The 20,358-nt window shown below is 37.3% G+C and overlaps 1 protein-coding gene across 5 annotated transcripts in view, besides 1 other annotated feature; it reads right to left on the bottom strand.

Moving 5' to 3' along the window:
- The window catches only part of MAP4K3 (mitogen-activated protein kinase kinase kinase kinase 3), a 188,020-nt gene that overhangs the window by 93,803 nt on the left and 73,859 nt on the right, over positions 1-20,358 (bottom strand). For all 5 annotated transcript variants that reach the window (NM_001410753.1, XM_047446092.1, NM_001270425.2 and 2 more), the window contains 2 exons: positions 13,181-13,271; positions 320-384 (listed from right to left, as the gene is read on the bottom strand). In NM_001410753.1, coding sequence (NP_001397682.1) covers positions 320-384; positions 13,181-13,236 — 121 coding nt within the window. In that variant the 5' untranslated portion in view covers positions 13,237-13,271. The remainder of the gene's footprint in view (positions 1-319; positions 385-13,180; positions 13,272-20,358) is intronic.
- Positions 12,467-12,667: a silencer, noted in NCBI's record as "peak3671 fragment used in MPRA reporter construct". NCBI's record gives its function as "represses an SCP1 promoter by STARR-seq MPRAs in K562 erythroleukemia cells {active_cell/tissue: K562}" and the evidence as "EXISTENCE:reporter gene assay evidence [ECO:0000049][PMID:32103011]".

The raw sequence follows: 20,358 nt of genomic DNA on the forward strand, positions 1-20,358 counted from the left end.
TACACTGGATATTTTACCAGCTTAGCATTAGCCAGCAAAGCCCTTGAATTTTTACAAGTCTGAGTTTAAATTTTTGAAATGACTACAATATGCCTCTGCAGAATTAGCAAATAATTCAAATGCATTTAATTTTCCAAATTAAAAAGCAAAGACTCCTCCTTTCTTCCACCTATATCTAAAATACCTTTATATAGCCAAACAATATAACAATAAAACATAGCTTGCTTTCCTTAAGATAATGTTGATGTTTTAATATAGTAAATAGCTGTATTTTAAGAAATTCAACCTAACCCCTATAAAAATACAACTTTGGTCTTACCGTGATAAATATCCTGTAAAGAACCACCTCCACAAAACTCCATGCAAATCCAAAGCTTATCTCGCCTATAAAGAGAAAAGAAGCATGTATCATATTTTCATGATTAAAACTGTCTGTGTGAGGTAACAAGTATTTTAAGGTTGTAAGCTGTAACACTGAAAAACAACAAATGCAATGTGTTATCTTTAAAATAACTAATTAATCTTTATGAGTAATGAATTACTTAATATAATGTGTTACTATAATCCAACCTGAGGTTTTAAACTTATAATACACCATTTGTTGGATATAAAGCTGTTATCAGGCACATCCAAATAATGAAAATACTTCCCTTTAGTTAAAAACTTCTCCTCCCCAAAAGTTTATACATCTACCCAGATTCTTCACAGACAAATGGCAATAAATCTCAAAGTATACTACTTTGATAGCACTCTCATCAACAAAACAGGCAAAATATAAATGTTAGCTTCATATCTAGATTCAACAGTGATTTTCCCAAAACAGTCTTAAAATTTATCACTCACTTCTCTTTAGATAGCACTTCTCTCTCATACTCAAATTATAAGCTGTTGTAATCATATAGTCATAGGAGAAATAATCAGCTGTGATTTATATAGGTCATTCCTTTGTTCAGTCATTCATTATTTAATCTCTTAAAAATGTACCAGGAAATGTACCATTCATGGTACAGAGATGGGACAGAAAATCCCTGAACTCAGCAAGCTCTAATGCAGAAGAAAGATTCTACCTTAATATATGTCTGTCTCTCTCACCACTGCCTTCTTAGTGTCTAGAAGAATATCCAGCAAATAATATTTGTTCCATAAATGAATGATTGCATGAGTGACTGAAAGAATAAACATATCGAATTAGATTGAGGTCAGGAAAATATGGCCAGCGGACCAAATCTAGCCTGCTGCCTGATTTTGTACACCTCTGCAACTATGAATCGTTTTCCTATTTTAAAATGGCTGGGAATGGTTGTTACTTGTAACTACAATTAATAAATAAAATGGTTGAGAAAATAACAAAAATATTTCTTGACATATGATGATTGTATGAAATTCAAATTTTAGTGCCAATAAATAGTTTCATTGGAACACAGTCATACTCATTTATTTCTATACTGTATGGCTGCTTTCACGCTAGAACAGAAGAGCTTAGTCGTGGTGACAGAGACCATGTAGCCCACAAAGCCTAAAATATTTACTATGTATCCCTTTATAGAAAAAGTCTGCTCACTTGGGTTAGATCATAATTTGATGAATGCATAATCCAGGCATGTATAAAGTACTGTGGGAACCCAGAGATGAAAATACCTAGGAAAATGAATGGAAAGTTTTAGGGAGGAGAAAACATTTAAATTGGGTCTTGAAATTAAAGTAGAAATTTACCAGGGAGAGACAGGAAAGGGACCTGTGCAAAAGAATGAAAACTTGAAAGAAATGCACATGTGGGAGACTGTGGGTGATTTAGTGGGAGTTGAAGAAAGACTGCCTGAAGAGACAGTAGCAGGAAATAAACCCAGAATAGGCTGGGTCACACTGTGAAACAATCCTATGTTTACTAGCTTCTCAGTTTAGTTACCTTCCTGTAGATAATCTCTAGTCAGTCCTTGTGTCTCTTAAAATGTGGCACCCAAAAAATCAAGTACTAAGATTCTGAGTGTTACATGAACAATACATTAAAAAGTGGAGATGCTGAGCCAGGCCCAGTGGCTCACACCTGTAATCTCAGTAACACAGGAGTCTGAGGGAAGAGGATTTCTTGAGGCCAACAGTTTGAGACCAGCCTGGGCAACACAGTGAGACTCTCATCTCTTAAAAAACAAACAAAAAAAGTTAGCCAGGAGAAGTGGTGCATACCTGTAGTCTCACCTACTCAGGAGGCTGAGGCAGGGTGCAGGGGGTCGGGGGGAAGGTGCAGGGCGGGGCGGGGCGTATTATTTGAGCCCAGGAGTTCGAAGTTATAGTGATCTATGATAGTGCTACCACACTCTGGCCTGGGTGACAGACCGAGATCTGAATCTTAAAGAAAACAAAAAAGCAGAGATGCTTTTATCAGCCATAGGTCACATATGGTTGGGTAGTAGCAGAATTAGCTGGACCTAAGAGGTGAGCTGACTTGACCGTAGTGGACAAGGTAGCATACAAAAAGAAAGCACAAGCTATCAGAGCGCAAAGGTCAACCAACTTAAGAGTATGAAGTAGCAAGGTATCATGATTCTAGAAAATAATGCTAAAAAGAGTGGGCCAGATGCAGTGGCTCACGCCTGTAATTCCAGCACTTTGGGAGGCCGAGGCGGGCGGATCACGAGGTCAGGAGATCGAGACCATCCTGGCTAACACGGTGAAACCACGTCTCTACTAAAAATACAAGAAGAAATTAGCCAGGCGTGGTGGTGGGTGCCTGTAGTCCCAGCTACTCGGGAGACTGAGGCAGGAGAATGGCATGAACCCGGGAGGCGGAGCTTGCAGTGAGCAGAGATCGTTCCACTGCACTCCAGCCTGAGTGACAGAGCTAGACTCTGTCTCAAAAAAAAAAAAAAAAAAAAAAAAAAAGAGTGAAGCCCAAAATAAATCTGAAGCCATCCAGGATCTGCAATTCATAGGTGGTTCACATAACAATGAAATTGAAGCATACAGCTGATATAAAAATTTGTTTTAATTTCTAATATGGTAAATACCAATAGCTATAAATTATATAAATATGTGCCAGCTGCCCAGTGGCCTGGTATTAAGAACTTTCAGAATAGATGTCTGAGACTGGCAGATGTGTGGTCTTTCTAATCCCCCAGAGAATGTAACCACTATCTCCTTTATTTGATCACTGTATTTCTATTAAGTTAGCTGAAAGCTATCGTTAACTTCTCAGCAACTACATTAAACTGCTAGTTTACTGTTTGTAGTTAATCAAAACCTCTGGATCTTTATAAAACAAAAGGCAGACCAGTTCTCTCTCCAGCTTCATATTTGTCTACCTGGTTCAATGACACTAAGCATAGGACTTTTTTCTTATTTGTTAAATCTTATACTTAAAAAAAAATAGTAGTTTTGATTCATTTCCCTTTGTTTTTGACAGGTGTCTTATTAGCTCTCCCAGCATATCACTTTAAAATGCTTCGGCAAAGAAAGCATCACACACATTGCATTAGGTTTAATCCACACCCTTGGGGCAGTGAGCTAACTTTTTAAAGTATCCTAATTGGAAATACACCTCTCCACTCCTGCTCCCAACCCCCACAATCCAGAAGCAGTTGGTTAGCATCTGAACGAACCTAAATCAGGAGTCCACCCTCCAGAAGCAGCAATTGTAAGAACTTGGCTTATAAACTATTTTAATCTGCACTAGTGGGTTTACTAATGAGCTTAAGTAATATTACAAATATTTTAAAACATGAAAGACACTCTATGCAGATTACTTAGAATTACCATTTGGCACTTCTCTGCCTCTGCCTGAGATATAAAGGCTCTGGCAAGTCAACAATATTTGGAATGCTGCTTAGGCTCCAATTTGGATATATCTAGAATGCAGGATTCCATAACCTGATCTCTATAGGTTAGTTGAATCCTTCCTCTAAAAGAGTGAGTGGTTCTCAAAGTGTGATCTGGAGGTCCCATGAGAGTCCCTGAGACATTTTCAGAGGGCCACCAAGGTCAAAACCATTTTAATAACACTAAGAAATTATCTGCTCTTTACATTCTCTTTCTCTCATGAGAGTACAATGGAGTTTTCCAGAGACTACATGAAGTGTGAAAATGACGTCATCCCTGACAGCTACTGGAATACGAGCTTATGTTGTATTCTTGAGTTTTAAAAATGTCTCAGCTTTAATTTCTAATATGGTAAATATCAATAGATATAATTCATATAAAACAAAAGCTCTCTTGCGGTACTCAGCAATTTTTAAGAGTATAAAATAAAGGGGTTCTATTACCAAAATGTTTTGAGAACCATAGCTCTAAAATATCTTCACATCTGCCACAAGTGAATCTTTCATGTTAAATGCCAGCCTAGAGTTCTTAAGATGCAAGCAACTAGGACTTCACACAGCTTACAAAAAACAGGTTGAATGACTGTTCTGGGGTCTGCTTAGAATTAACAGAATAACATGTAAACTGCTTAGTAAAGGACCTGGAATATAGCACAATAAATGTAAGTTGTTTTCTACTCCTTTTGTTATAATTTATATTGTAGTGTACAAGTCATCTTAATTTAAGTGTAGTGTAACTTAAATTAACTTGTAGTGTAGTGTAGTATAACTTAAATTAACTTGTAAATTAACTTAAAGATGTTTAAGTCATCTTAAATTGCTCCTGGAACTCGGTGAAACTATAAATAAATAAATAAATTTTTTTCTTTTTTAAGGAAAAAAGAGAGATGGGATTGATCAGGCATATATTCTTACTAAAGTCATGTTAATCACAACTTCTTTCTTATAAGTGGTCATTAATTATCTGATTAGAAATTTATCCTAGAGCTTTGCTAGTGATCAATGAGTGATATCAACTTTAATAGTCTGTATTTTCTGGAAACCAACTTCTCCCTTCATTTACAAACTGTTCATTGTTGATCTCTAATCTCTGATACCTCTTCTGTTTGTCAATACTCATTGATAATGGACTACCATCACATTTGCTGAACTTTCAATATGAGATATAATTTACATAAATCTAAAAGTTTCTAAAAATTTAAGGTGTCTAGCTGCTCTATAATTATCTACTCACCATCTTGTGTTTCAATTCCATCTTAATAGTGTTTTTCCTACCCCTTCCAGTTTGAAAACAATTTTCCTTGCTAGAGAAAATGAATGCAGGAAATGAGTTCTCGCTTTTTATATATTTCAATATGACACTACCTTCTACTTGAAGTTGGTCTATTCTCTTTTCTTCCTTTGCTTAAATATACAATTTTCTATTCATCCTATGTAAAATGACTTTCCAGCTTATAGGCAGAAAAAAAAATCACGACTATATAGTAATACTTTACTTTTTAAGATGCCTAAAATACTTTACTTTTATAATATTCTATTTAGTTAAAGTCTAGTATTATCCAAAAGCTTGAGTAGTCATAGTCTATTAGAGAAATGACTTTCATCTGTCCCATGAATATCTTTCTTATAATGACAAATCTACATTTGCTTTTGGTCATTCACTAAGCCATATGCCTAATAGGAAAGGACTTCAGTCAATCAGCCCATTTTATGCAGGTCAATTATAAAATCTTTGTCCCTAGGTATCTGAATTGAAATAAAATTAACCACTGAAGTAAATATTCAATGTATCAGTATTAACATCCTGATTCAACAAATCCTCAGAATTCTTTTTTCTCATTTTGTAAAATTATTTATCTTATAAGAAACAGAAAATTAAGTAGAGGGGGAAAAGTTAACTATTTTGATGTCTACCAGAGCATACAGGGACCAAAATTCTAATAGCTATTTTATGGTTCTGAAATTCTTATAATTCCTAAAACACACTTTTTAATCTTCCCACATTTTGTAACACATCACAGACTTAAAACTGACCAAACTAAGTATAATTATTTATATATTTTTCTCAAATATAGCATAATTTAAACAGCAAAATAAAATGTGACCAAGACTACTGAGGATCAGCAACTCTCTAATATCTGCCTGAAGTTGGCATACGGAGTCTTCCTCCCTGGGAGAGGATGGCTAGCTATCCTGTACACTGCAGTCCCCTGATTCCTGTACTGTACTGTGAGTTGTTGTCTTGCTGACCAAAGCAATGGCTATTCCACTATATTCAGCAAAATAATTCAACCTTAATCATCAATGAGAAAAACAAAGTTTAGTAACTGCTAGATGTTTTAATATAAATAACTTATTTAACGTGAAGAAAATTTTTAAACTTTTTTGGTTGATTTAAAAATTACTAATAAGGAAAAATAATTGCATTCCAAATTTATTTATAGGTAACCTATACCATCTGCTTTCCCTTTAATAAGGAGGGGTAAGGATGCTGTACTCAGGGGGATACAAGCTGATCTATTTCTCTATAATTATACCTAATAATCCCCCAGTGTTCAGCATAATATTTCCAAAGGGTGGGCCACTGAACATCAATCCTACATGAAGTATGCTTCCAGAAAGAAACCACCGTATAGTTAAATCAGTTTTTAAAAATATCACATAGTCTTTTCTTGAAAATTAGCAAGGCCACTGGTATATTAAAGGCTCTGAGAAATCCTGTAGTGAGAAGGCGGTTGGAGAGACAGAGGAGGGAGAAGGGAAGAGAAGGGAGAGGTAACAAAATGGAAGGATGAAGGGTACCAGAAAGAAGATAAAGTGGGAAGAGGTGGAGGAAGCGAAAAAAGAGGAGAAGGGGGATGGGAAAAGTTGAGAGGGGGAGGAGATGGAGGAGAAAGAAAAAGAAGAAATAAAACTTCTAATTCTGTTTAATTTACTATTTACCCAGATTATTTTTTCAATACACCCATTTTTTTACAAAATACATATTTGTATCCCTCAGAACTAATGATCTATAGAAAATATCCTAGCAATACTGGTAAAGGAACGTATCTGTAACTTCACCAAAGTTTTTTTGCTTAGAGTAGTAGTTCTTAACTGGGAGTGACTGTGTCCCCCAAGGAACATTTGGCAAAGCCTGGATACATTTTTGGTTGTCACAACTAGGGGAAAGGGTGCTACTGGTAACTAACAGAGGACAGGGGTACTAATATTAACAACTATCTTACAATGCGCAGGACTATCTCCCACAACAAAAAAGTATCTGGCCTTAAGTGTTGATAATGCCAAAGGTGAGAAACCCTGGCTTAAACAAATAACAAATTAACATCAACTTTCAGATATATTCCTAATTCCTCTCAAAAACAGAAAAGAGAAAGACATGAACAGAAAACTGATAAAATCCAAATAAGTATACTGAGTTTAGCTAATAGTATCGCACCAATGTTAATATCGTAGTTGTGAAAAGTGTGCCATGGCTGCGTTAAGATGTAAACATCAGAGAAAGCTGAGTGAAGGAAATACAGAGAACTCTGTACTATTTGCAACTTTTCGTAAATGTAAAATATTCCTAAACTAGAAAGTTCCCTTTTTTAAAAGCAAGAGTAGCTGGGTATAAAGTGACTTAACTGTAATCTTTATTCTCATATTCTAAGTATTCAAAAAGATATTCATAAATGTATTTCGAGTTAAGATCCAGTTGTTTCCCTTCTTAGCACTGTCTCTGGCTCTAGAAAAAATTTTTTCCCAGTTTTATATAACTCAAGAGACCAACATCTCTTTCCTGGATTACTGTAATAAATACACCATAATTAGTTTAACTAAATTGCCTCTTTTAATCCCCTCCACCCTAGGTCCATCCTCCACAGAATATACTAACTCTGTTAAAATCTTTCAGCAAGTATGCTCAGTCCCTTAGGTCCTAATTAAGGGATAAAAGATTCATTTTTGCCCATATCTCCACAACCTTATCTACTCCAACTACACGTGGCCCTCTGGAGGCCACAGGTCCAGCACCTGTGGGGTTCAACCAATCGCAGGTTCACCTAACCGGAGACTGAAAATTTTCAGAGGGGAAAAAATAAAAATAATACAACAATAAAAATAACACAAATTAATAAAGTATTACACTATTTACATAGCATTTACACTGTGTTAGGTATCATATGTCACCTAGAGATAATTTTAAACTGGAGGATGTGCATAGCTATGCCACTTTATATAAGGGACTTGAGCATTCATGGGTTTTGGTATCCACTGGGGTTCCGGAACCAATCTCTGCACATACTGAGAAGTAACTATGTACCCCCTTTTCCCTCTCAGGCTCTAATGTGAGACCAGTAGCTGTCTCCTGAATATGTCACAGTTTTTCATGCATGTGTTCCCTTTGCCAAAAATTCCAATTTTCTATACACATAAATATCTACCAATCTTTTAACACCCAATATTTGGGAATTACATCATTCACAGAGCTTTCTCTGATTCCCCTACATTGACAAAAATCAGAGAGTCTATCATCCTTAGCACTTCTGTGCCTTACTTCTAAATTATTACTGCATCTAGCATATTATGTTACGATTATTTGCTCATGCCTACTTCTCCTGTTAGATTATAAGCTCCTTAAAGGGAAGGATTAGGTTTTAGATATCTTTCTGTGGAAATCAACACTGCACTCTACATGCTAAGAAATAATGTATAAACACTTTGTAAATGGTGGTGATTTACTTATTTAAGTTGTTATGAGGTAAAGTATGCTCATCTAAACTAGTACTCTGTACTTCAAAGGTTTATTTATTTTACTTTAGTTTTGAGACAGAGTCTCGCTCTGTCACTCAGGCTGGAGTGTAGTGGAGTGATCTTGGCTCACTGCAACCTCTGCCTCTTGGGTTCAAGTGATTCTCCTGCTTCAGCCTCCCTAGTAGCTGGGACTACAGGCATGTGCCACCATGCCCAGCTAATTTTTTGTATTTTTAATAGAGATGGGAGTTTTGCCACGTTGGCCAGGCTAATCTCAAACTCCTGACCTCAGATGATCCACCTGCCTCAGCCTCCCAAATTGCTGGGATTACAGGCATGAGCCACCGCACCCAGCCCAAAAGTTTAAAATATCTATTCTAAATAGTTTTTACTGTATGGATCAAATCTTCTACTGGCTTATTGTTTAAGGAGCATTTGTTGGCCAGGCGTGGTGGCTCACAAGGTCAGGAGTTAAAGACCAGCCTGGCCAATATGGTGAGACCCCATCTCTACTAAAAATACAAAAATTAGCTGGGTGTGGTAGCGTGCGCCCGTAATCCCAGCTACTCGGGAGGCTGAGACAGAAGAATCTCTAGAACTCGGGAGGTGGAGGTTGCAGTGAGCCAAGGTCCTGCCACTGCACAGCAGCCTGGGCGACAGAGCCAGACTCTGTATCAAAAAAAATAAATAAATGAGCATTTATTGTTTTTCCCCCTAAGCTTTATTGAGTTCAAGCTTGAGAGGAATGTCTCCATTTTCTTAACTTATTCTTAAGTGATATGCTGGGCTAAGGAATGCTTAGAAGGAACCTGAAATTAATTTAAACTCATCTTTAGTTTAAAAGAAGTAATAGTTAAGCTCCAAAAGAATTGTAAAGAATAAGTCTATAATGATTTAATTCTGTTGTTTTATAAATACACAAACATATATATTCAGATACAAATACATACCAAACCGGGACTATTTAAAATTTTTAAATGTTAATGCTTTGTCTATCTACTTTTATTGTAGGTATATTAATGATATTGAACAGTGGAGTAGGAAAGGTCTTGTTAAGAAGAATGCCAGGTATTCTGCTTTATAGAAGCTCAGTTTCAGTATTTCTTCATAAGCGAGCACAGCTACCCTGATATAAAATGGACTTCTGAAACTTAATTATATGCTAGTCATCTACTAAGAAAATTCATAGGGTAAATCTGATTCTCTGAGGGGGAAATTTATCAATGGTCAAACTACATTTGCTCAGTTTTCTTAACTTTTTGTCTAAATTTGTTATACAGGTTGTAATAGCAACAACATAGAAGGAAGAATGTTGCAATGAACAGTATATATTTTACGGGGTTTCTATCAAGTTCAAACAAGATCCTCCTTTGTAAAGTCATTCAGTAATGAGAAAGAATTCAAGAAATCACGTTCCCTCTGAGACTAAATCTGGCCTTTCTGGGCTAAGCAATACAGTATGCCAAAAAAGACATCAGACTAGCTACTTGTAAAGCCAGGATTAAATCCCAGTGCCACTAATGAGACGTTGGATAGACTAAGTAAGTCATTTATACCCCACTTCATTTTCTCATCTATAACCAAGAATGGGCTATATGACAACATCTCTTAGCCCCTTACAGCTCTAACATCCTACAAGTCTAATCATTAGGATTCCCTACTCCAACCTTGGCTGAGCCTGAACTTCAATTAGGGAATAAGGGAAGAATCTCTACAGAAGAAAAGAGCAAGAGAGAGATAAAATTAATTGCTATCCTACATTATACTACCATTTACCTTCAAATCACTTTGATCAGCTATACCCATTTACAGAATAAAATAATATATTTAAATCAGTGTTTCTTAATATTAGATTGTACAACACTAAAAAGAACATAGTTTTACTGAAAAAAATGATCCTACTTTTGTCTGTTTTACTTTGGTTTCTGGGTAATTTTGCTTTTTGTATTTGGAATGAAGCAAAATCATAAAATAAAAAACTTAGATGTTAAATTCTCTCAAGAATCTTATTTGTAAAATGGAAATAATTTCTACCACAGCTATACTGCTATCCAGGTTGCTGAAAGACCAAATGAGGCACTAAAATAATGATACTTTTAAAAAGTTAAGAAGTAGTAGTAGTAGCAGCAGCAGCAGCAGCAGCAGCAGCAGCAATAGTAGTAGTAGCAGCGGCAAATACCTATTGAGCATTTATTACATTCTAAGCACTGTTCTTAGTATTTCACACGTAGTTACCCAGGAAGTACTCACACCTATCCTGTCATGTAGATATTATTATCATCTGTTTTATAGATGAGGAAACAGAGGCACAAACTGGTTAAATAATTGATTAATAAGTGATAGAACCAGGTCTCAGACCAGACAATCTGTCTCCAGAACTTAACCTCTTAACTACCAAAGATACGATTTGTCTCTGGCAAAAAGATCATGCTCATTTTACCATACCAAGGGTGCCACATAAATGAGTGGGGTTATCCTGGAATAACAGGTTAGCCACCATCCTGGCTAACATGGTGAAACACCGTCTCTACTAAAAATACAAAAAAAGGCCAGGCACAGTGGCTCACGCGTGTAATCCCAGCACTTTGGGAGGCTGAGGTGGGTGGATCACGAGGTCAGGAGATCGAGATCATCCTGGCTAACACTGTGAAACCCCGTCTCTACTAAAAATACAAAAAAATTAGCCGGGTGTGGTGGCAGGAGCCTGTAGTCCCAGCTACTCGGAAGGTGAGGCAGGAGAATGGCTTGAACCCGGGAGGTGGAGCTTGCAGTGAGCTGAGATCGCGCCACTGCACTCCAGCCTGGGTGACAGACTGAGATTCCATCTCAAAAAATAAATAAATAAATAAATAATTTAGCTGTGTGTGGTGGCGTGTGCCTATCGTCCTAGCTACTTGGGAAGCTGAGGCAGGAGAATCTCTTGAACCCGGGAAGTGGAGGTTGCAGTGAGCCGATATCACGCCACTGCACTCCAGTCCGGGAGGTTGCACTGAGCTGAGATCATGCCACTGCACTCCAGCCTGGGCAACAGAGTGAGACTCTGTCTCAAACAAACAAACAAAAAAAAAACAAAAAAACTCCCACACCTCTACCTTAACCAAGGTGGGGCAATCAAAGCTGTACAAGAGTGGTTACAACCATGAACAGCAGGTCCAGTTGGTTTTTCAAAAGCTAGAAAGATGACAGGGCAGAATACCCTAGTCTTTTCTGTTGTGCCCAAAAGAGAAGAGAAAAAGTGTTTTGTACCTGGATCATATGAAAATGGGAACCTGCAATAAGTTACAGTATGTTGGATGTTGCTAAAGTATGCTGAAGAAAAACTGAAGAGTTTTTTTAATACATAGGGAAGGCCAGGCAGGATGACTCACACCTGTAATTTCAGCATTTTGGATCATTTGAGCTCAGGAATTTGAGACCAGCCTGGGCAACATAGTGAGATCCCCGTCTCTATAAAAAATACAAAAATTAGGCCAGGTGCGGAGGCTCACGCCTGTAATCCCGGCACTATGGGAGGCTGAGGCAGGCAGATCACGAGGTCAGGAGATCAAGACCATCGTGGCCAACATGATGAAACCCCATCTACTAAAACACAAAAAATTAGCTGGGCGTGGTGCCACGTGGCTGCAGTCCCAGGTACTCAGGAGGCTGAGGCAGGGGAATCACTTGAACCCGGGAGGTGGAAGGTGCGGTGAGCCGAGATCACACCACTGCACTCCAGCCTAGTGACAGAGCAAGACTCCACCTCAAAAAAAAAAAAAAAAAAAAAAAAGGCTGGGCATGGTGGTACGTACCTGTGGTCCCAGCTATTCATGAGGCTGAGGTGGGAGGATCACCTGAGCCTAGGGAGGTCAAGGCTGCAGTGAGCCATGATCACACCACAGCACTCCAGCCCGGGTGACAGAGTGAGACTCTGTCCCGCCCCCACAAAAGAAAGAAAGGAAAAAAATAGTAAAATATTCTCTAATCTTCCCTTGGAGGAAGCTTAAAAACAACTAGGTCACCAGTGATCAACTCACAGCTGCATGTAGAAGTGAATGGAAAACAAGATTTGACCCTAAGGTGATCGCCTATGCAATATAACCTAAGAACCTGGCTTGGGTCTGGCTACCAAAACAAAGTAAGAGAAAGGAAATTCACAGTCCTAAGTTCACTTTAGGACCTGGAAAAATAAGTTACTGAGATGATTATAGTTCCTAGTTCTTTGGATACAATGAAGGAAAGGGATAAAGTAATATAGTACTCTTAGACCAGAAGCACAAAATTAAAAAAAAGTTTTTGATAAACACATAGCTGGAAGAGATGCTCCTGACTCTACACTGACCTAAGTCCAGAAGAAAGGGGCAAGAGAATGGCATATTTAGATCGCTAGTCCACCACTGGAAGACTAACCGTAAGGTTTTTACTTGCCAGCATTTTCACTAAAAGCACATCTAGAATTCCCAAGTCATACGACTGCAATATTGGTTACAGAATTAACATAGGTCCTAAGTAAAAATTCCATTGGTATGAAAATATCCTATCTTCAAAGCATGAAGAAAAACTACAAAACATGGTATTAAAACTAACTTTATTTTGTTTAATGCATTAGGTGATGAAATCATTATTGCTTTTCAAAAGGGAAACAAACAGTATACCTGAGATAGCTTCCAAAATAAGCAACAATATTTGGGTGTTTACAGTCTTTCATCATAATAATTTCTTGCTGCACAACTGCAAAGTCTTCTCCTGGAATAAAAAACAAGCATGTTGAATATTTAGAGGTAAGTTTCAAAATGCTCATTTATTTCAAAACACAATAAAATAATTATACGTATTAATAAGTATAACATAATTAATGAGTTATAAATAAAACATAGCCAATAAGTTAATGGTATTACTTTTAATGACAATTTCAGTCCTGACTTGAGAGAAAATATAGCATAGTGCTTAAAAGCATGAACTCTGGTCCCAGACTTTCTGGATTAAAATCCTAACTCTGTTCCACACTAAGCGGTGTGAGTTTGGGTAAATTATTTGACTTCTCTGTGCCAATTCCATCCTCAGTAAAATAATAATAGCCTATCTCATAGGAATGTTGTAAGGGTTAAATGAACCAATACATGTAAAATGCTTAGAACAGTGCCTGGCATGGAGTATGCTTTATACAAGTATTTGCTATTATTATTATGCCTTGGACATAATCATCGGTATAATCCATCAATAGGAAATGTAAATTACTTTTTCCTTTATTTCCAAGTAACATTTAATATAATTTTAGCACAAAGAAGTAATTCTTTTCTAAGTTAGGGCAGGAACCCTTATACACCAAGTGTGTCAAATTTATCTCCACAGGCTGTTTGTAGAGCTGAGAGGCCTACACTCAAGCAGTACTGGATTACCAGATGGCCCACATTCACAGGCTTATCCTGTATTTGAGTGCCTTGTTCCAACTGTGTTATAATGCAGAATGGGACTGTATTTTAGCCTGGTCAGACTATTAGCAAATAATCTCTCTCCTACTGCCTCCTTGTCCAAATTCTCTAAAATAAGATCTGGCAATCCTATAGCAGTGTCACATGCTGTGGCTCCTGAATGAACACTTGTCATGGAGAGAAACAGAACTGCAGTGAATGCAAATGTGGTGAACCAGAGACTATGCAGAAAGAGAACAAATGGAAGTGCTTACTCTGAAAGAAAAGTAGCTTTGTATTACTAATTCAGCTTTTAAAGTATTATATACTATGAATAGCCTGATTAAATGTAAATTAGTAGCAAAGTAAAAAACAGAAGGCTTCCCCAATTACTGCTCAAATCATAAGTATAAGGTCATTGTGGTAAGCCCTGACATTTCTGGCCTTGGCATTTTGCTACTGCAAATGTAATTGAGACTTGAAACAGCCCAACCATGAACCATGTGAACCCAATATCAAAATCCACCTTACTGTCCCAGTTACAAGGAAAGAAATAATGGAGAAGAGACAGTTGTTATGTTGGGTTCTTAATTTCTGCGTTGATATGAGCACAAAATCACAAATCTCCAAAGACATAATTTTTAGGCTTTCAAAAATTTGGAAGATTATTGAACTATGATCTTATCAATTTACTTCCCACCATTGAGGATTCCTGATTTTCTGTATATTAGAAGAAAACAAAATTAGGAATAATAAAGCCAAAATAAGACTAACACCAATTTTTATAGGTATACTAGGTACTTTGGAAGTTCTGGACTTTTAGTTTCTCACTCAACCCAAAATTATACTTTTAGTCAATCTAGTGAAAGAGTTGCATACAGTAAAAGTTGATCTAGTCAGAGTGAACCCAAGACTTTAGTCTGATGGTTGGAAGACAAAAGCTCTCTTTCTGGGGGTAGCCCTGAGAGTTATTAGTAGTCATGATACAACCTCAAAGGGAGTCAGCCTTAGGATAAAGTTAACATGTGGAAAGCATTGAGGAGAAACAGGTAAAAGGAAGCATACTGAGCTATTACAGCAAGCCTCACCTGTCTCTGTAATTTTCAGATATACCTGTACATGACCAATAAACTCTGTGTATTGTTTAAGCCACTTCAGCTGGGGTTTCTGTTACAGATAACTATAAGCATCATAACTTCTACAGTGATCTTTGTATTGAGCACTTTTATTATATTACACTGATGTCTGCATGTCTTTGCCTTCACTAGAATACAAAGTCCTCTAGGATAGCATTATGTCTTCATCATCTTTGTACCCCTAGTACCAAAGATGTGATCAATAAAGAACTGTTGACTGAATCAATCTACAGCACCACATAATTCCTTTCTATGATGACTGTAAATCCAGAATATCAGCTTTTGGTTTAATTTCATCCAATTGTTAGCATGTTTTATATAATTAATTGCCTACATATTATTCCTTTTATTTCTAATAGAATGTATTAGTGGCTTTAGGTTTTCAACTGCAGCCTTCCCATGAAATACTACTGATCCAAAGTGTATCATTTTGTACTATTAAGTCAACTCTATGTGATTGTGAGAATGGTCAAATTAAATTCAACATTTTTGTGGGAAAAAAATTCAAAGAAAAATTCCACATACTCGATTTTTAAAGGTAAATAAAAAATGTAGATTTGGGTAAGAAAAAAGTAGAGTTTAATACATTAATAATCCAAAGGATTTAAAGAACTTTGTTCAAGGCTCATGAGAAATACATTATAAAGATAGGCCTCCTATCACGAGTAGAGCAGCAGAGGGTAACTGCCCCCATGATTCAATTACCTCCCACTGGGTCCTCCCACAACCCATGGGGATTATGGGAACTACAATTCAAGATGAGACATGCGTGGTGACACAACCAAACTACATCATTCCACTCCTGGCCCCTCCCAAATCTCATGTCCTCACATTTCAAGTCACAATCATGTCTTTCCAACAGTCCCCCAAAGTCTTAGTTCACTCCAGCATCAACCCAAAAGTCCAAGTCCAAAGTCTCATCTGAGACAAGGCAAGTCCCTTCTACCTATGAGCCTGTAAAATCAAAAGCAAGTGAGTTACTCTCTAGATACAGTGGTGGTACAGGCATTGGGTAAATACAGCTGTTCCAATGGGAGAAACTGGCCAAAACAAAGGGACTACAGGCCCCTTGCAAGTCTGAAATCCAACAGGATAGTCATTAAATCTTAAAGTTTAATGACTACCAACAGGGTAGTCATTAAATCTTAAAGTTCCAAAATGACCTCTTTTGACTCCATGTCTCACATCCAGGTCATGCTGATAACAAGAGGTGGACTCCCATGGCCTTGGGCAGCTCCAACCCTGTAGCTTTGCAGGGTACAGCTCCCCTCCTGGCTGCTTTCACAGGCTGGTATTAAGTGTCTCCAGCTTTTCCAGGCACACAGTGCAAGCTGTCAGTGGATCTACCATTCTGAGATCCAGAGGACAGTGACCACCTTCTCACAGTTCCACTAGGCAGTGCTGCAGTGGGAACTCTGTGTGGGGGCTCCAACCCCATGTTTCCCTTCTGCACTGCCCTAGCAGAACCACGAGGGCTCCACCCTTGCAGCAAACTTCTGTCTGGACATCCAGGTATTTCCATATATCCTTGGAAATCTAGCCAGAGGTTCTCAAACCTCAGTTCTTGGTTTCTGTGCACCTGTGAGCTCAATACCACGTGGAAGCTGCCAGGCTTGGGGCTTGCACCCTCTGAGGCAATGGCCTGAGCTATACGTTGGCCCCTTTTAGCCACGGCTGGAGCGGCTAGGATGCAGAGCACCAAGTCCCTAGGCTGCACACAGCAGGGGGAGCCCTGGGCCTGGCCCACAGTACCATTTTTTCCTCCTAAGCCTCCAGGGCTGTGATGGGAGGGGTTGCTGCAAAAGTCTCTGAAATGCCCTGGAGACATGTTCCCCTTGTCTTAGTGATTAACATTTGGCTCCTTGTTACTTATGTAAATTTCTGCAGCAGGTTTGAATTTCTCCTGAGGAAAATGAGGTTTTCTTTTCTATCGCATTGTTGGGCTGCAAATTTTCCAAACTTTTATGCTCTGCTTCCTCTTGAACGCTTGGCTCCTTAGAAATTTCTTCCACCAGATACCCTAATCATCTCTCTCAAGTTCAAAGCTCCATAGATCTCTAGGGCAGGGGCAAAATGCCGCCACTCTCTTTGCTAAAGCCTAACAAGAGTCACTTCTGCTCTAGTTCCCAACAGGTTCCTCATCTCCATCTGACAGCACCTCAGTCTGGACTTTATTGTCCATATCACTATCAGCATTTTGATCAAAGCCATTCAACATGTTTCTAGAAAGTTCCAAATGTTCCCACATCTTTCTGTCTTCTGAGCCCTACAAGTCTCTCGGAACTTCCAAACTTTTCCACATTTTCTTTTCTTCTTCTGAGCCCTCCAAACTGTTCCAACCTCTGCCTGTTACCCAATTCCAAAGTTGCTTCCAGATTTTCAGGTATCTTTACAGCAGCACCCCACTCCTGGTACCAATTTACTGTACTAGTCCATTCTCGTGCTGCTAATAAAGACCTACCAAAGACTGGGTAATTTATAAAGGAAAAGGGTTTAACTGACTCACAGTGTGGCATGGCTGGGGAGGGCTCAGTAAACTTACAATCATGGCAGAGGGGGAAGCAAACACATCCTTCTTCACATGGTGGCAGGTGGAAGAAGTATGGGCAAAAGGGGGAAAAGCCACTTATAAAACCATCAGATCTCATGAGAACTCACTATCACGAGAACAGCAGCAGGGGGTAACTGCCCCCCATGATGCAATTACCTCCCACAAAGTCCCTCCCATAACATGTGGGGATTATGGGAATGACTCAAAATGAGATTTGGGTGGGAACACAGCTAAACTATATCAACAATCAAAACAATAACAGCTTAAAGATGAACCCTGAAAAGGTCCCTTATTTCTGTCACATTAAGTCCATACTTTGCTGCTGGCCTTGTCTACATATCTAGCACAGTGTCACTATTAAGGATATGCACTTTGAAATCAGAATATCTAATTATAAAACTTGGTTTCACAACTTACTAGTTGTATCATCTCAGGCAAATCTGTCTGTCTCTGCCTCCCGTTTCTCTTCTGTTTCTTTCTTTCTCTCTGTTTCCCTCTCTCTCCCACACCCTTTTGTCTCTACATTATAGCAATTATATCACGTTTTATGTAATAATATGATATTATAATAATATACATTATAGCAACTACCCATAGTCACAATTCTATGCCCCCTTACTCTATTTTTCCCCATGTACCACACTTAACATATTATATGTTTACTTATATGTGTGTTTCCCTAGCACATTAGACTCTTTCAATATAAATGAATTAATGAATTATTCTAAAGGTAATAACCAATTGAAACCCAAAAGAAAAAAAAATAAGGCGGTATAAACAGTAGAAATACAAAATTTTCATTATTTACTATATATGACTGTGCTCTTGGACAACAAACACTTGAAAAAAAGGCAGAAACAATTTTTTAAAATCCTTCAATAACATATTAGAATATGTCAAATTAAATTGTGTACCTAAGAATAAGCTTTAAAACCCATAGGCTCCATACAAAGTTTAAACTTGCTTTTAAAATCTTTAAAATGATTATTTAAACATTATTTAAACTACATTTTATTTAAATATTAAATATTTAATTTAATATTATTAAATTATCATTTAAAACAGAATCTGCTCTGTTGTTAGTTTTCATGTTAAATAGCTGTTTGATACTGCAAGTAATTATTTCATTATAATGACATCTGTCAAGATGCTTCTGGAAAACCATGTTAGCTTATGAGAGTCATGAAGATGTTAAACATGTAGAAGACAGAAATAAAGATGACAAAAGGAAAATAAGAAAACAAAGTATTCTGTGAGATAAAAGACCTGAAAAAAACAAAAGACACTTCCCTTCTGAATAGAAGAACTTACTATGGTAAAGACAGCAAGTACCTTATGAATTAATAACTGTATTAATGTAATTCCAATAAAAATGCCAGTTGAATCCTGAAAAAATTATACTTAAATTCACCTGAAAAAAATAAACATGAAGGAACAGTTTTCTACTAGATATTATTTTGAAATAAGTAGCTCTTATTTAGAATTGATACATCTGGAATAATTCTCATCCTTCTGATTCTTTATCCTGGATCATGTTAAATGTCCTTTGGCCAGAAACAAGAAAAAGAAATAAAAGACATCCAAAGTGAAAAGGAAAAAGTAACATTATATTTGCTGGAAGATGACATGACATTGCATATAGAAAGCTCTAAAGATTCCACAAAAAAACTGTTAGCACTAATAAACAAATTCAGCAAAGTTGCAGGATACAAAGTCAAATGCATTTATATACACTAACAACAATCTGAAAAGGAAATTAAGAAAATAATCCCAATTGCAACAGCATCAAAAAGAATACCTAGTAATAGACTTAACCAAGGAGGAGGAAGACCTGTACTCTGAAAATTACAAAACGTTTAATTAGAAAAATAAATGTAAAGACATGCCATGTTTATGGACTGAAAGAGCATTGTTAAAATGTTCGTACTACCCAATGCGATCTACAAATTCAATGTAATCTGGAGAACAAACAGCAACTTTTTTCTTTCAGAAATAGAAAAAACAATCCTAAAATTTAGATAGAACCACAAAGAACGCCAAATAGCCAAAACAATCTTGAGAAAAAAGAATAAAAGCTGGAGGTCTCACACTCCTGGTTTCAAAACATATTACAAAGCTACAGCAATCAAACAATATGGCACTGGCATAAAGACAGACATATAGACCAACGGAATAGAGAAAAGAAAACCCAAAATAAACACATGCATATAAGGTCAAATCCTCTTTCACAAGGATGCCAAGACTATGCAATGGGATAAAACAGTATTCAACAAAGGTGCTGGGAAAAACTGGATGGCAGCATGCAAAAGAATGACATTGGACGTTATCCTACATACACAAAAAATTCAGCTTTAATTTATTAAATACTTGAATATTAATTAAATACTTAAATGCAAGGCCTGAAACCATAAAACTCTTATAGAAAAACACAGGCCAAAACATTCATAATATTAGTCTTGGCAATTATTACTTGGATATGACATTAAAAGCACAGGCAACAAAAGCAAAAACAGACAACTGAAATTCCACCACTAAAAAGCTTCCGCACAGCACAAGAAACAGAATTAAAAGACTACCTATGGAATGTAAGAAAATATTTGCAAACCATATATCTGATGAGGGGTTACTAGGCACTCCTACAATGCAACAGCAAAACAAAACCCACCAAATAACTGGATTCAAAAACGAGCAAAGGGCTCGGCGCAGTGGCTCATGCCTGTTATCCCAGCACTTTT

The sequence above is a fragment of the Homo sapiens genome, chromosome 2 (assembly GCF_000001405.40).
Source record: "Homo sapiens chromosome 2, GRCh38.p14 Primary Assembly".
Classification (NCBI taxonomy): Eukaryota; Metazoa; Chordata; class Mammalia; order Primates; family Hominidae; genus Homo; species Homo sapiens.